This window comes from Homo sapiens, chromosome 11 (genome assembly GCF_000001405.40).
Source record: "Homo sapiens chromosome 11, GRCh38.p14 Primary Assembly".
Classification (NCBI taxonomy): domain Eukaryota; kingdom Metazoa; phylum Chordata; class Mammalia; order Primates; family Hominidae; genus Homo; species Homo sapiens.
The window spans coordinates 134,086,813-134,102,923 of NC_000011.10; the positions used below are offsets into that span (position 1 = coordinate 134,086,813).

The following is a 16,111-nucleotide window of genomic DNA, read 5'->3' on the forward strand; positions in this document are numbered from 1 at the left end:
GTTGTTGTTGTTTTGTTTTTTGATGCGGGGTCTTGCTCTGTCTCCCAAGCTGGAGAACACGGTTCGCTGCAGCCTTGAACTCCTGGGGTTCAAGCAATCCTTCTGTCTCAACTTTCCATGTAGCTGGGACCACAGGGATGTACCACCATGCCCAGCTAATTTTTTAATTTTTTGTGGAGATGAGGTCTCACTTTGTTGCCCAGGCTGGTCTCAAACCCATGGGCTCAAGCGATCCTCCTCCCTCAGTCTCCCAGAGTACTGGGATTACAGGTGTGAGCCACCACACCTGGCCAAGATTTTAGTATTGTCTTTTCCCAAACACGCTTAGTGAAATGAAGCAACAGAAATGTAATGTCCTGAGATTATTGTGCCATGAAGTATTACAATGAAGGAGATACACACACACGCACACACACACACTTTTTTTGCATATTAGGAAAAAGTAGGGAAGAGTATGGAAGAAAAGGAAAACACTGTAAATCAACAAATAAAGTATTTCTGTTTAAGAATCAGAGAGTATATATTTTTCAAGAAATGCTGAAAGAAACCATATGCTTAGGCATTAAAACAAAGCATTATGGACATAAAATCATGACCTCCCACCTCTCTCTTGTGGATTATATTCATATTCATTTGAAAGTGTTAGTTGAAGTCCTTAGAATCTGGAAGAATTTATTATTGCTTGAAAGTTAGTGGCACTCATTGGAGAGCAAAATCTTGGACTCTGCCTTGTTACACACCTAGCTATATAAGGTACTTTTTAAAAACCTTTCTCTTCTTACGTATACAGGTTGTTGGTGTTAGACTTCTCTGGAAGAAAGAACTGTCTTAGAGGCCAAATCTAGTCACTCAGTAACTGGGCTGATGATCAGGGGACCCAGGTTTTGCCATGGATTTACACTATGCTCTCAGCAAGTTACTTAATCCCTTTATGTTAAGTTTTCTACCCATAAAGCAAATACCTAACCCTCTTAATTCGCATGGACATATAGGTTCTAGAATCTTAGAGCTTAAAGGTATTCTGTAAACCAGTGTTTATCAACTTTGGTACTGTTGATATTTGGAGTGGATAATTTTTTGTTATGGAGGCTGTCTTGTGCATTGTAGGATGTTTAGTAACATCTCTGGCCTCTAAATACAAGTGGCAATATCCCAGTTATGGCAGCCAAAGATGACTGCAGGCATTTCCAGATGCCCCATGGGTGGCAGTATCCCAGTTGGGAACCACTGCTGTAAGACAGGATTCAGCAAGAGGTAGCTGATGCCCAGGGATGTTCAATGCCTGCTTTAGAATACATCACTGTTAAGTGCTGGGACCAGGACTAGAACTCAACTTTATTAATATACTGCCAACCCATTTATCCAGCTTTCCCCTTAAATTCACAGTTTCATTCCATTCCAAAAGCAGTGGCATATGTTTAAAATTTCGACACCAAAACAAAAATTGACAAATTCTCTACATTTACCAATGATGTATTACCCACTTGCTTCCATTTTACCACCCCCGAAGCTCTTATCATACCTTGCTAAAGAAGCATTGCTTTCCTTATCCTTAAATGCTTACGAAATGCTTGGGCAACATTTTTTTTTTTATTTTTTATTTTTTTAAATTTTAGGTTTGGCTTCATTGTATCTGTATCAATCCCAAAAGGTAGAAAACCAAGTATAGAAGGTTATATTCTTTAAGGAAAAAACGGAATACAAAATCTATTTTACATGTACATCCTTTTCTATATACTTAAGTTGTACAACCAATTCTAATGACAAGATGCATTTAAATTTGTGTTCTGGAATAAATTGCTAAAATCATTAACCTCTGAACATTAAATCACTAGCAATAGAACAATATATAAATAACAGTTTTAAGACACGGATTTGTGAATATGTCATTGCCACAAAGACAGTAAAATGTCACTTAATTGGGCTTGGTCTGCACATTAACACACCTAATTACTTATGGTTTATATATATCACATCTGTGTTTGTTTATTTTTTGAGATGGAGTCTCACTCTGTCACCCCTGCTGGAGTGCAGTGGAGCAATCTCAGCTCACTGCAACCTCCGCCTCCCAGGTTCAAGCGATTCTCCTGCCTCAGCTTCCCAAGTAGCTGGGACTACAGGCACTTGCCACCACGTTGGGCAACATTTATTAAGGGCAGTCGGAATGGATGGTTTGGGAGGTGTCAGTTCACCATTATAAGCCATATAGGTGATTGTAAGTTGGATATGATCTGTGGGACATTGAGAACTATGGAATTCCATGCTAGTGAAGAGCACTAGAGGATCTCGAATTGAATGTCTGTTTATCAAATAAATCAACATGCTGCCTTAGGTGTATGCTGAACCTCCTTGTGTCTCCCATTCTTTCTTTATATACTTTCCAGTTCGTGGTTTTTAATAAAGGCAAATTCTGCACACATACTAAGCAGCACTTAGGATATTTTGTTTGGTTGTTTAATTCCATATCTGATGTTTCATTATCATATCCTAGGTTTTCTTTTTCTTTTTTTTATTATACTTTAAGTTTTAGGGTACATGTGCACAGCATGCAGGTTAGTTACATATGTATACATGTGCCATGTTGGTGTGCTGCACCCAGTAACTCGTCATTTAACATTAGATATATCTCCAAATGCTATCCCCCCATCCCTGTACCCCACAACAGGCCCCGGTGTTTGATGTTCCCCTTCCTGTGTCCCTGTGTTCTCATTGTTCAATTCCCACCTATGAGTGAGAACATGTGGTGTTTGGTTTTTTGTCCTTGTGATAGTTTGCTGAGAATGATGGTTTCCAGCTTCATCCATGTCCCCACAAAGGACATGAACTCATCATTTTTTATGGCTGCATAGTATTCCATGATGTATATGTGCCACATTTTCTTAATCCAGTCTATCATTGGTGGACATTTGGGTTGGTTCCAAGTCTTTGCTATTGTGAATAGTGTCGCAGTAAACATACGTGTGCATGTGTCTTTATAGCAGCATGATTTATAATCCTTTGGGTATATACCCAGTAATGGGATGGCTGGGTCAAATGGTATTTCTAGTTCTAGATCCCTGAGGAATCGCCACACTGACTTCCACAATGATTGAACTAGTTTACAGTCCCACCAACAGTGTAAAAATGTTCCTATTTCTCCACATCCTCTCCAGCACCTGTTGTTTCCTGACTTTTTAATGATCGCCATTCTAACTGGTGTGAGATGGTATCTCACTGTGGTTTTGATTTGCATTTGTCTGATGGCCAGTGATGATGAGCATTTTTTCATGTGTCTTTTGGCTGCATAAATGTCTTCTTTTGAGAAGTGTCTGTTCATGTCCTTTGCCCACTTTTTGATGGGGTTGTTTGTTTTTTTCTTTTTTGTTGGAGTTCATTGTAGATTCTGGATATTAGCCCTTTGTCAGATGAGTAGATTGCAAAAATTTTCTCCCATTCTGTAGGTTGCCTGTTCACTGTGATGGTAGTTTCTTTTGCTGTGCAGAAGCTCTTTAGTTTAATTAGATCCCATTTGTCAATTTTAGCTTTTGTTGCCATTGCTTTTGGTGTTTTAGACATGAAGTCCTTGCCCATGCCTATGTGCTGAATGGTATTGCCTAGGTTTTCTTCTAGGGTTTTTTTCAATATATGGAAATTCACATTTCGCTTGGGAACATGAAGGAGAAGATATACAAAAGGAAAACTAGATGAGAACAAACAAGCTGAGTAAAAGTAGTTGTCAGAAAATAAACTGAATGATAGGTAGGAAAGCTTCAAACTATTAAGTAAATGCTGTGCTTTAAAGTTAGGGTTAGTAGCCTGAACATCTGGATCCTGGAGTGCTTTCAAGCTCTTTGCTGAGAACATTTCTAGATTTCAGTGTTGTCTGGTTAGCAGAATCTTTTCTCGGACAGCCATGTAACAAAGTTGTCTATCTTTTGAAAACTCCAAACTACTAAAGTGTTGGAAACCTGAAATGCTTTGCTTTGAAGGTAAGATGATTAAAAAAAAATCTATTGAAATATTTGAACTCAGGTATAATTGACTTGTTATGTAATAAGATTCTGAACATGTATACATACACAATATGAAAGAATTTCAAGTCCCAAACTTGAGTTTGCAAATGAAGACAGACATTTAGAGTAACTATGCACCATGGTTAGGTTTACTTGCTGTTTTTCTATTCCTCCTGTTAAGTACATTGTAAACTACCTTAAGCTAATGTATTGGCTGGCTAAGATTCCTACAGGGTTCATTCTTTTCATTGGGCATCAATAGTGTCAGTGGTATTTTCCATTTGAAATGTGATGGAACTGAGAGACACTGTGGATTGGCTTAGAACTGAACCACAGTTAAAAGTGGTCATCTGAGGACCAGCCTGGGCAACACAGTGAGACCCCCATCTCTATAAAAAATAAAAATAAGGGCTGGGCGTGGTGGCTCATGCCTGTAATCTCAGCACTTTGGGAGGCCGAGGTGGGTGGATCATGAGGTCAGGAGATTGAGACCATACTGGCTAACACTGTGAAACCCTGTCTCTACTAAAAATTAAAAAAATTAGCCAGGTGTGGTGGCACGCGCCTGTAGTCCCAGCTACTCAGGAGGCTGAGGCAGGAGAATCGCTTCCCAGAACCTGGGAGGTGGAGGTTGCAGTGAGCCGAGATCGTCCCACTGCACTCCAACCTGGGTGACAGAGCAAGACTCCATCTCTAAATAAATAGATAGATAGATGGATAGATAGATAGATAGATAGGCATGGTAAGCCCAGAAGTTAGAGGCTACAGTGAGCTACGATTGTGTCACTGCACTCCAGCTTGGGTGACAGAGTAAAACCCCGTGTCAAAAAAAAAAAAAATTGTTGTCATCTGAGTTACAGCTTTGGTAGTGGGTGAAGTGGAGGGGCAGAGACAAGTTATCACTTAGAATTTATAGCCGACTAAGTCTGGATCAAGGATGTATCATGCAAATAAATGTGTGCAATGGATGGAAAAGTTGCCTGAGGCAAGGGAAGAAGGGAGCTACTCCAGTGCTGTGTTTGGGGGTGTGGGTTTTTTTTTTTTTTTCTTTAACTGTAGGAATTTATGGATAGTATAAATTTGGGAAGCTTGAAAAGTGTGCATAAAAATATTTATAATCTTACTATCAGGGCAGTATTGCAACAATTCAGTATTTGTAATATATCTACTTCTAGTCATTTCTGTACATTTTAAAAAATAATTGAGTTCGTACTCTAAATATAATTAAGTATACTACTCTTTTCATCCCCTTTCGCAGAATTCTTTAGGGGCTTTCTGTTGCTCTTGGTGCAAAGCCGAAAGCCTTGAGCTTCTTATGACTGCTCTGATTTTCCCTCCCTGCAGTGGCCTCTTGCTCAGTGTAGTTCTGCTCCCTTGGCTCACTTTCATTTTCCCACACATGCCCAGAGCTGTTGCGTGTGCTGCCCGTTGTGTGTGATGCGCTCTGCAGCCACCTTGTTGCCTGGCGGAGCCCTCCTTATTCATCATGTTCCACCTTAAACGTCACTTCCTGAGGGAAGCTTCTCCTGAACCCTCCTTATTCATCATGTTCCACCTTAAACGTCACTTCCTGAGGGAAGCTTCTCCTGAACCCTCCTTATTCATCATGTTCCACCTTAAACGTCACTTCCTGAGGGAAGCTTCTCCTGAACCCTCCTTATTCATCATGTTCCACCTTAAACGTCACTTCCTGAGGGAAGCTTCTCCTGAGCCCTCTTTATTCATCATGTTCCACCTTACATCTTATTCATCATTTTCCATCTTACATGTCACTTCCTGAGGGAAGCTTCTCCTGAACCCTCCTTATTCATCATGTTCCACCTTACATCTTATTCATCATGTTCCATCTTACATGTCACTTCCTGAGGGAAGCTTCTCCTGAGCCCTCCTTATTCATCATGTTCCACCTTACATGTCACTTCCTGAGGGAAGCGTCTCCTGAACCCTCCTTATTCATCATGTTCCACCTTACATCTTATTCATCATGTTCCATCTTACATGTCACTTCCTGAGGGAAGCTTCTCCTGAGCCCTCCTTATTCATCATGTTCCACCTTACATGTCACTTCCTGAGGGAAGCTTCTCCTGAACCCTCCTTATTCATCATGTTCCACCTTACATCTTATTCATCATGTTCCATCTTACATGTCACTCCCTGAGAGAAGCTTCTCCTCAGCCCTCCTTATTCATCATGTTCCACCTTACATGTCACTTCCTGAGGGAAGCTTCTCCTGAACCCTCCTTATTCATCATGTTCCACCTTACATCTTATTCGTCATGTTCCATCTTACATGTCACTTCCTGAGGGAAGCTTCTCCTGAGCCCTCTTTATTCATCATGTTCTATCTTACATGTCACTTCCTGAGGGAAGCTTCTCCTGAACCCTCCTTATTCATCATGTTCCACCTTACATCTTATTCATCATGTTCCGTCTTACATGTCACTTCCTGAGGGAAGCTTCTCCTGAAACCTCCTTATTCGTCATGTTCCACCTTACATCTTATTCATCTTGTTCCATCTTACATGTCACTCCCTGAGGGAAGCTTCTCCTGAGCCCTCCTTATTCATGTTCCACCTTACATCTTATTCATCATGTTCCATCTTACATGTCACTCCCTGAGGGAAGCTTCTCCTGAAACCTCCTTATTCGTCATGTTCCACCTTACATCTTATTCATCATGTTCCATCTTACATGTCACTCCCTGAGGGAAGCTTCTCCTGAGCCCTCCTTATTCATCATGTTCCACCTTACATGTCACTTCCTGAGGGAAGCGTGTCCTGAACCCTCCTTATTCATCATGTTCCACCTTACATCTTATTCGTCATGTTCCATCTTACATGTCACTTCCTGAGGGAAGCTTCTCCTGAGCCCTCCTTATTCATCATGTTCCACCTTACATGTCACTTCCTGAGGGAAGCTTCTCCTGAACCCTCCTTATTCATCATGTTCCACCTTACACGTCACTTCCTGAGGGAAGCTTCTCCTGAACCCTCCTTATTCATCATGTTCCACCTTACATCTTATTCATCATGTTCCATCTTACATGTCACTTCCTGAGGGAAGCTTCTCCTGAACCCTCCTTATTCATCATGTTCCACCTTACATGTCACTTCCTGAGGGAAGCTTCTCCTGAACCCTCCTTATTCATCATGTTCCACCTTAAATGTCACTTCCTGAGGAAAGCTTCTCCTGAACCCTCCTTATTCATCATGTTCCACCTTACATGTCACTTCCTGAGGGAAGCTTCTCCTGAACCCTCCTTATTCATCATGTTCCACCTTAAACGTCACTTCCTGAGGGAAGCTTCTCCTGAACCCTCCTTATTCATCATGTTCCACCTTACATGTCACTTCCTGAGGGAAACTTCTCCTGAACCCTCCTTATTCATCATGTTCCACCTTACATGTCACTTCCTGAGGGAAGCTTCTCCTGAACCCTCCTTATTCATCATGTTCCACCTTAAACGTCACTTCCTGAGGGAAGCTTCTCCTGAACCCTCCTTATTCATCATGTTCCACCTTACATCTTATTCATCATGTTCCATCTTACATGTCACTTCCTGAGGGAAGCTTCTCCTGAACCCTCCTTATTCATCATGTTCCACCTTAAATGTGACTTCCTGAGGAAAGCTTCTCCTGAACCCTCCTTATTCATCATGTTCCACCTTACATGTGACTTCCTGAGGGAAACTTCTCCTGAACCCTCCTTATTCATCATGTTCCACCTTACATGTCACTTCCTGAGGGAAGCTTCTCCTGAGCCCTCCTTATTCATCATGTTCCACCTTACATGTCACTTCCTGAGGGAAGCTTCTCCTGAACCCTCCTTATTCATCATGTTCCACCTTAAATGTCACTTCCTGAGGGAAGCATCTCCTGATCTCTCAGATTCACACCCCCATTATACACTTTCGTGGCCCCTATACTTTTATAGTATTTATTGCAATTGCAATTAATTATATATGTAGAATTAGAATGTTGTTTGTGTGTGTTGTTTATTTGTGTATTATTAGAAGGCAGGGACCATGACAGTAGGAATTGTTCACTGCATTTCTTGGCCCAAATATAGTACGTGCTAGATGCTCAATAATGTTCGACATTTGTTGAATAAATGACTGAATATATTAATAAATGAGGAAATAGGCAGCAGTCTGCTTCCTTCATATGTAACACGTATGTTAAAAGATATGCTTGGTAGTGAATTCTGAAAGTCTAATGTAGTGAATGAAAGTGTAATATTGGGTTCTTTTCTTCATGTGCTGTGTTAAATTTAGTTAAATTTCAGTAATGAATCTTAGAAAACTGTCAGCATTAGGTCTGTCAAACAAATGTGAGAGGCAGAAAAGTTCGAAGAGAGAAAGTAAACCAGCATTGTTTCCCCACTTACTGAAAATAGGTTTTGTAACAGAATGGTGCAGTCTAAATGAAGAAATACACCTGTTAGGAATACCTTCTAAAGATCTGTTTGCATGTACTAATGCAAATATGGAAAACTCTTTTTTTTTTATTGGCACATGAAGTCTTTTGACTAAGATTTGTTCTAATAGGCCCAGCGCAGTGGCTCACGCCTATAATCCCAGCACTTTGGGAGGCTGAGGCAGGCAGATCACGAGGTCAGGAGATCGAGACCATCCTGGCCAACATGGTGAAACCCCATTTCTACTAAAAATACAAAAAATTAACTGGTTGTGGTGGCACATGCCTATAATCCCAACTATTCAGGAGGCTCAGGCAGGAGAATCACTTGAACCTGGGAGTCGGAGGTTGTAGTGAGCCGAGATCGCGCCACTGCACTCCAGCCTGGCGACAGAATGAGACTCTGTCAAAAAAAAAAAAAAGATTTGTTCTAATATTAAATACAAAATCAAGCAAATCAAATAGAAACAAAAGAGTCTAGGTTAAAGCACTACGGAAGTACTCAGTTACGAGTGTGCTGTTAACTTGCTACATGACCACTTACTAAATAGGGGCTACTTTTTCGCCATCTTAGGAAGAAACTGAGTATACCAGACATCTTAAACATAACAAACATCTTAAATGTTGTCATCTAAGATTCAGACAGGTTTCTAAATGTTTTTGTCCTTGACTTGCAAACACTCAGTGGACACATACAGCCCTCTAACCCACTGTGTCTCAAATGTTGATGTACATGATGTCAGTTGCCATGCATTTTATTTATTTATTTGTTTTTTTGAGATGGAGCCTTACTCTCACCCAGGCTAGAGTGCAGTAGTGCGATCTTGGCCCATTGCAACCTCCACCTCCTGGGTTCAGGTGATTCTCATGCCTCATCCTCCCAAGTAGCTGGGATGACAGGTGCGCGCCACTACACCTGCCTGAGTTTTGTATTTTTAGTAGAGACGGGGTTTCTCCATGTTGCCCAGTCTCTGGTCTCGAACTCCTGGCTTCAAGTGATCCTCCTGCCTCGGCCTGGGATTACAGGCGTGAGCCACCACACCCAGCCCGTGTAGAAGGCATTTATGTAATGAACTGACATCCTTGGAGTGAGCTTTCAGTTTAGTATAAATAGGTAAGGGTTTGGATTCTCTGATCATCTTCTTGGTCTGTTCACTTCCATCCAGAAGGCCTGGGTCTGGATTGGCACCATGGATCTGGTTGAGACAAACAATAAGGCAAGGGCTTGTATGTTCTTTCTTTCACTTTATCGTACTTCATAGCCAGTACATAGTAGTGTTTTATTATGTTATGTTATTTCCTCTATTTTAATTTCTTCTCAAATCCAGGGGCCAGTTGTTTGGGCAGATGTTTACTAGGGACTCTAATCACCTGCTCTTCACCCAAGGAAAGGCAGTCTCTGAAGTCTCATTTCTATTATCTAAAAGCTAGTTCTGCATTTTCCCTTCCTGCAAGCAAGGAATGGTTTTCTTTTGACGTTTCCAGCTATGGTTTGCTTTGAACTGACTTCTTTGTTGTATTGGGGTGTGTGCTCAGTTAATGAGTAATGAACACGATTGGATTCTTCTTTCCTTGGGTAGATACTGGCCAGAATTATTCTTTACCTATGCTGTACCAGTTAATAAAGGACTCCTCAGTTTGTGCTTTCTCATAATTCACCAAATCTAGCAAATCTAGTATCTTTAATTTGGTTTATTATTACCATTAAATATTAGCTGTATGCCCACATTTTGCTAACATGTGGCACTTTGTAGAACTGTTAGGGGACTACCCAGAGAGAGTGCAGTGGTGGTGTGTTTTGGGGTTGTGGAAGAGGGCTGGAATGTAGTCACTGCCCTCCAGAAGTCCCTTTGTCATATATAATACAGAAAAGCCTTTTTCTTGTCCCCTCCACACCCCATCCCCCGCATCCCATCAAGCTGCTTAGGGTGAGGGGAAACACCATGAGAGAGGAATGGCAATAGTGAATGTGTTTTGATTACTCTTTACCATCCTCTTCCCTCAATAGTTTGAACTTTCCTTAGAAACAATTTCTAAGAGGGAATTTCTTAAGTGAGTACTAGGAAAGTTGGCAAATTTTGGAAACAGTGTTTAGTGTCTGTGGTTGCTGTTCTGCATTTCAGGGCGCCTTGCCTACAGATTAATCCCAGCTGGCCACTCTTCTACAGCACTTGCTCAGGAACAGGTTGTATTGACTCCTTCATTTGAGATTCGGTGAAATTCGCAAGTACCTCTGGAATCATTTGATGAACCTCTTTGGAGCATTAGTGATGCAACTTAATGTCTTTGGCAGGGACATTTCTTCTCACATCTTATTGATACTGGGTTTGAGGAGCAGGCTGACTTCTGGTTGTGTAGTCAGCTCTCGGTTTTTTTCTACTAATGGAGAAGGGAGGCATTATAGGGAATGGAAAATTCAAGTTGCAAAGCATTAAAAACAATTTAAAATTATGTTTCATTTAAACTAACAATTGCTGTATTTCTGACCAAATAATGTTTACTTCAGGATAATGTTTTCTTGATTTATTTTTATATTACAAGTTGCCACTTTATAAATTCTACAGATCATGGAAAGTAGTTTAAAAGAGTGATCTTCAGATTTTTAAATTTAAAGTCTATTCTTAATTTTCTTTTATATATATGTATATATATATTTATATACACACACTTTGCACTGTAAGATATTGAGTTTATGACATTAAGGACTCTGGCCCTTCAGTTCTTGAAAATTTAGTGCTTATAAAATTGTGAGGACTATATTCTAATCATTTTCAGTCAGTGAAAAACCTATATACTTTATGAAGCACGCAGGAAACATCTCCTTTTCTGCTTAGTTCCCCTAAAAATGTGGATCAGATCCATCTCCTGGGCCTAGTCAGTATTGATTGAGTGTATACCCAGGGCATCGTGCTAAAGTGTCACCCAAGCTCTGCTCTCCAGGGGAAGAAGAGCTAGCCATTCCTTTTACTGTGCATGCATATGTATATAGCTCACCTATATCCAGAAAACTTAGTTTACAAATGGACTGCTTTTTAGGGAAGGAGTGGACACAAAAGTTCAACTTCAGAGAGGAAAACTAAGAGCAATGCCAAATTAACTGAAATCTTCTGTTTTGAAAGAGGTCTTTTAATTTAAAAAAAGCTAGTTCTTGGAAAAAGCACAATAATCAAAACCAAATGTACCTCATTAGAAAGTTCACGTGAGATAATTTGGGATTTGCAAAATTAGTTTTAATCAATTGTGAAGGACAGCAAGACTATTTCTACCTGTGCCAGGTAGAAATAGTATGTATCTAAAGTCAGAACCATTAGTGTCGGGGCAAGTATAGATACTCATTCTCTGTAGTTGGGTCAGTTGTCTTCCTTATATGTTCGCCTTAGCTAAAATGGCAGAGAGAAATCCTTGTTGCATCATAACAAGGACATTGTCAAAGTACACTGAACTCATGAATTAGACAAATAGCAGCATTGTATCTTCTTTTTCTGGGCCTGATTTTGAGGTATACTGCACTTCCTAAGGGTGATTTCAGAGCTAGCTTGCAGGTGGAGCTCCACCTGCTGATACTTGTGAGGGATAGCTCAGTAAGCACTCCTTCAGCTAGCATGTTTCCCACTAACATTCACACTGATACTCCAGCCTAGAGAAAGACCTTTGGGTTACACCAGTCTCCAGAAAGCCTTCATTTAAATGCAACTAGGGAGAGGCGTGGTGGCTCACCACCTGTAGTCCCAGCACCTTGGGAGGCCAAGGTGGGCAGATTGCTTGAGCCCAGGAGTTCAAGACCAGCCTGGGAAATATGATGAAATCCCATCTCTGCAAAAAATACAAAAATTAGCCATGTGTGGTGGTGCATGCCTGTAGTCCTTGTATGCTTGGGAGGCTGAAGTGGGAGGATTACCTGAGCCTGGGGTTTCGAGGCTGCAGTGAGCTGTGATCATGCCACTGTACTCCAGCCTCAGTGACAGGGTGAGACCCTATTTCAAAAAATAAAAATAAAAATAATACTACCAGGTTGCATGGGGGAGGAATGAGGTAATTGTAAAATGAAGGTTTCAGGGAAAAGCCTGGGCAAGCAGCTCTTGGCCTGGGAAAGGCAGGCCCAGGAACAGATTTCAGAGTTGTCCCAACAAGTTGGGTGAAATCTGTTTCTATTTGCTTCATTTTCTTTTTCTCTCCTACTCCTCACTACTTAGAAGGGGATTTGAGGGACCCATTTAGATCCTTTTCTCACTGTCTCGCCCTCTCTCTGATGGTGGTATTGAGGATAAGACAGTATTTGTCATCTGTAATTAACTGTACTGCATTTGTAAGGCAAGTTGTGCTGTACTTGATTTTTATGTTTCTTTCAAGATTTCTGCCCTTTGCCTCCTGTATTTTTCTATTTATTTGTTTATTTATTTAGGGACAGAATCTCGCTCTGTCACCCGCCCAGGCTGGAGTGCAATGGTGCGATCTTGGGTCACTGCAACCTCCACCTCTTGGTCTCAAGCAATTCTTCTGCCTCAGCCTCCTGAGTAGCTGGGATTACAGGTGTGCGCCACCACGCCTGGCTAATTTTTGAATTTTTAGTAGAGACGGGGTTTCACCATGTTGGTCAGGCTGGTCTCGAACTCCAGACCTCGTCATCCGCCTGCCTTGGCCTCCCAAAGTGCTGGGATTACAGGCGTGAGCCACCGCGCCCGGCTTGCTTCCTTTATTTTTCTAACCTCATCATTTTCTGCTTTGCTCAGTGGAGATTTTCCAATAATGTCACCCAAAATATACTTTTAAGTCAATGTGTGCTATTTTTTAAGTCACTTCTGACTTTAATGTTAGACCTCTCCTTTGATGAAAGTTAAATCTCATGACATGGGAGAGTGACATTATATCTTTAATTAAGATGTTAAATTCTTCTCAAATTCTGTTTCTGATTAGAAAAGTACTTTGAGGTGAATCCCCCTTTCCTCCTTAAAAAAAAAATAGTGGTCAGTTCCTATCTCTAGGTCTTCAGTGAAATGATCCCATTTTTCTGATCCAAACAAGTTTCTGTGGCTCATCTGCTCTGCAGAGCCCTGTGTCTTCTGAGGAACGATTGCTTTCTGCATAACATACAGTGTTCTTTGCTGCTTTCCACCCACAGAGCCTTTCTTGCTGAGGAGGAGGTGTGATATAGGAAAATTATGAGGGCTTTTCAAACTCGCTTGCATTGATGGCCCAGATGGTGAGGAAAATCCCTTGGGGAGCTAAAAATTGAATGGGTTATAGCAGATTTTTAAAATCCCTAATTAGACTCTCCTTCTCTTTAAGACCACTTTTGAGTTACCACTGTATTTATATATCTGAGTCCTGTTTCCCAACTGCTAGTGAGCTCCTTGAGGGCATCCTTGGGTCTGTACACCACTGAAATCTCAGCACCTAGAAAGCAGTTCTCTAATAGTGGCTGATACCATGTGAATGCATTCTCTGCGTCAGGTCCTGTACTCAGCACTTTACGTATGCTCTCTTACTCTTACAACTGGAGGAGAAAGGTATTATAATTATCCCCATCGTATGGATGAGAAAACAGAAAGATTGGTGAACATCCAAGCCAGAAACACTTGATAAGCAGTAGAGATAGACTTCAAACTCAGATGTTCTAGAGTTTCAGCTCTTAACCACTATATTATACTGCTTCCTTACTAGACAAACACTTAGTTTTAAAGTAAATATTTTTTGAGTAAAAAAGTGAATGAAGTAAAGTTAACTAAAGTTAATTTCCTGAAATCACAGTGATGTTTATGTCTTCTTTCAATAAACCATTCTCGGTATAAGTGGTCAGCCAGGATACATGTTGCTGTGCCTGGTGCTCCTTGTAACTCAGGAAGATATTGCCCCATTCTAAACAGCCAGCATGGGGTAACAGTGTAAGCACTGTGAACATTTCTTCTCTGTTCTTACCCATCTTCAAACAGAAACAACCAGGAGCAGTTTAACAGTGATACTTGAGTTATGAACTTCATACATATTGCTTAATTGTAATGGCAAATTAATGTGTTAACATTTATAGAATGGTACTGTCATTGAAGTTTGAATTTAAATGTGGGTTTTAACCCAGTTCTATAATAATTGCTGTGCTCTGGGAAACACTGAATCTTTTCAAGGAGGACAGCTATTTAACTATAAGTAGAGTCATTTGAAATGCAGAAGACCAGAATATTTATTCAAAGAGTGGTAGCAAAGAAGTGAGATGAGAACTGAGGTGGAGTGTTCTTTCCATCCTAGTGGAGAGAACACAGAGCTGTGAGTCAGGGTATCTGGAATCTAAGCATGTCTCCAGGCTTAAGTTTCTATTGTGAGTTTAGCTAAGGCATTCCTGTTGATAATACTATTGCTCTAATACCAAAAAGTGTCCACTAGAAAATAGAGTAACCTTTGTGCCTTTGTAATGATAGTGTTCTTTTGGTATAATACTCTACTACCACAAGTATTGCCTTTTATCATCTTAAAAACAAATCTGATCATATTTCTCCCCTTATTTATTCTTTTTCCTCCAGTTTTTATCGAGTGCTAGCTATGTGCCAGGAATTTATAAGTCCTTTATGTGTGATAACTCATTTATAAGCTCATGCCTGTAATCCTAGTATTTTGGGGGGCTGAGGTGAGAGGATTGCCTGAGGTCAGGAGTTTGAGACTAGCTTGGGCAAGATAGCAAGACCGCATTTTTACAAAAAATTTAAAAATTAGGTGTGGGGTACACATCTGTATTCCCAAGAGTCTGAGGTGGGAGAATTGCTTGAGCACAGGAGTTTGAGGCTACAGGGAGTTGTGATCATGCCACTGCAATCCAGCCTGGGTGACAAAGTGAGACCCTGTCTGTAAAAATTATAGTAACCTATTTAATTATCTCAGCCACCTTACGAAGTAGGCACTAATTTAGACATTTCATAGATGAGAAAACTGAGGCACAGTAACATACCCAACGTAGCATGGTAAGGGATGGAGTTCATATAAAACCCAGACAGTTCAGCAGTATTCGCTGTCCTGCAGCCTCCGCTGCTGATAACCCAGGCAAACAGGGTCTGGAGTGGACCTCCAGCAAACTCCAACAGACTTGCAGCTGAGGGTCCTGACTGTTAGAAGGAAAACTAACAAACAGAAAGGACATCCACACCAAAACCCCATCTGTATGTCACCATCATCGAGGACCAAAGGTAGATAAAACCACAAAGATGGGGAAAAAACAGAGCAGAAAAGCTGAAAATTCTAAAAATCAGAGCGCTTCTCCCCCTCCAAAGGACCGCAGCTCCTCACCAGCAACGGAACAAAGCTGGACACAGAATGACTTTGATGAGTTGAGAGAAGAAGGCTTCAGAGAATCAGACTTCTCCGAGCTAAAGGAGGAAGTTCGAACCCATCGCAAAGAAGCTAAAAACCTTGAAAAAAGATTAGACAAATGGCTAACTAGAGTAACCAGTGTAGAGAAGTCCTTAAATGACCTGATGGAGCTGAAAACCATGGCATGAGAACTACGTGACGAATGCACAAGCTTTAGTAGCTGATTCAATCAACTGGAAGAAAGGGTATCAGTGATTGAAGATCAAATGAATGAAATGAAGCGAGAAGAGAAGTTTAGAGAAAAAAGTAAAAAGAAACAAACACAACCTCCAAGAAATATGGGACTATGTGAAAAGACCAAATCTATGTCTGATTGGTGTACCTGAAAGTGATGGGGAGAATGGAACCAAG

The 16,111-nt window shown here is 40.9% G+C and overlaps 1 protein-coding gene and 1 long non-coding RNA gene across 3 annotated transcripts in view; one reads left to right on the forward strand and one right to left on the reverse strand.

The window, feature by feature from the left end:
- Nucleotides 1–16,111, forward strand: part of JAM3 (junctional adhesion molecule 3) — an 82,930-nt gene that overhangs the window by 17,741 nt on the left and 49,078 nt on the right. The window lies entirely within an intron of this gene.
- On the reverse strand, nt 1,317–7,873 carry LOC124902797 (uncharacterized). Its single transcript, XR_007062960.1, has 2 exons — nt 7,717–7,873; nt 1,317–7,536 (listed from the first exon to the last, which is right to left on the reverse strand). It is a non-coding gene; the product is annotated as an uncharacterized LOC124902797 (long non-coding RNA).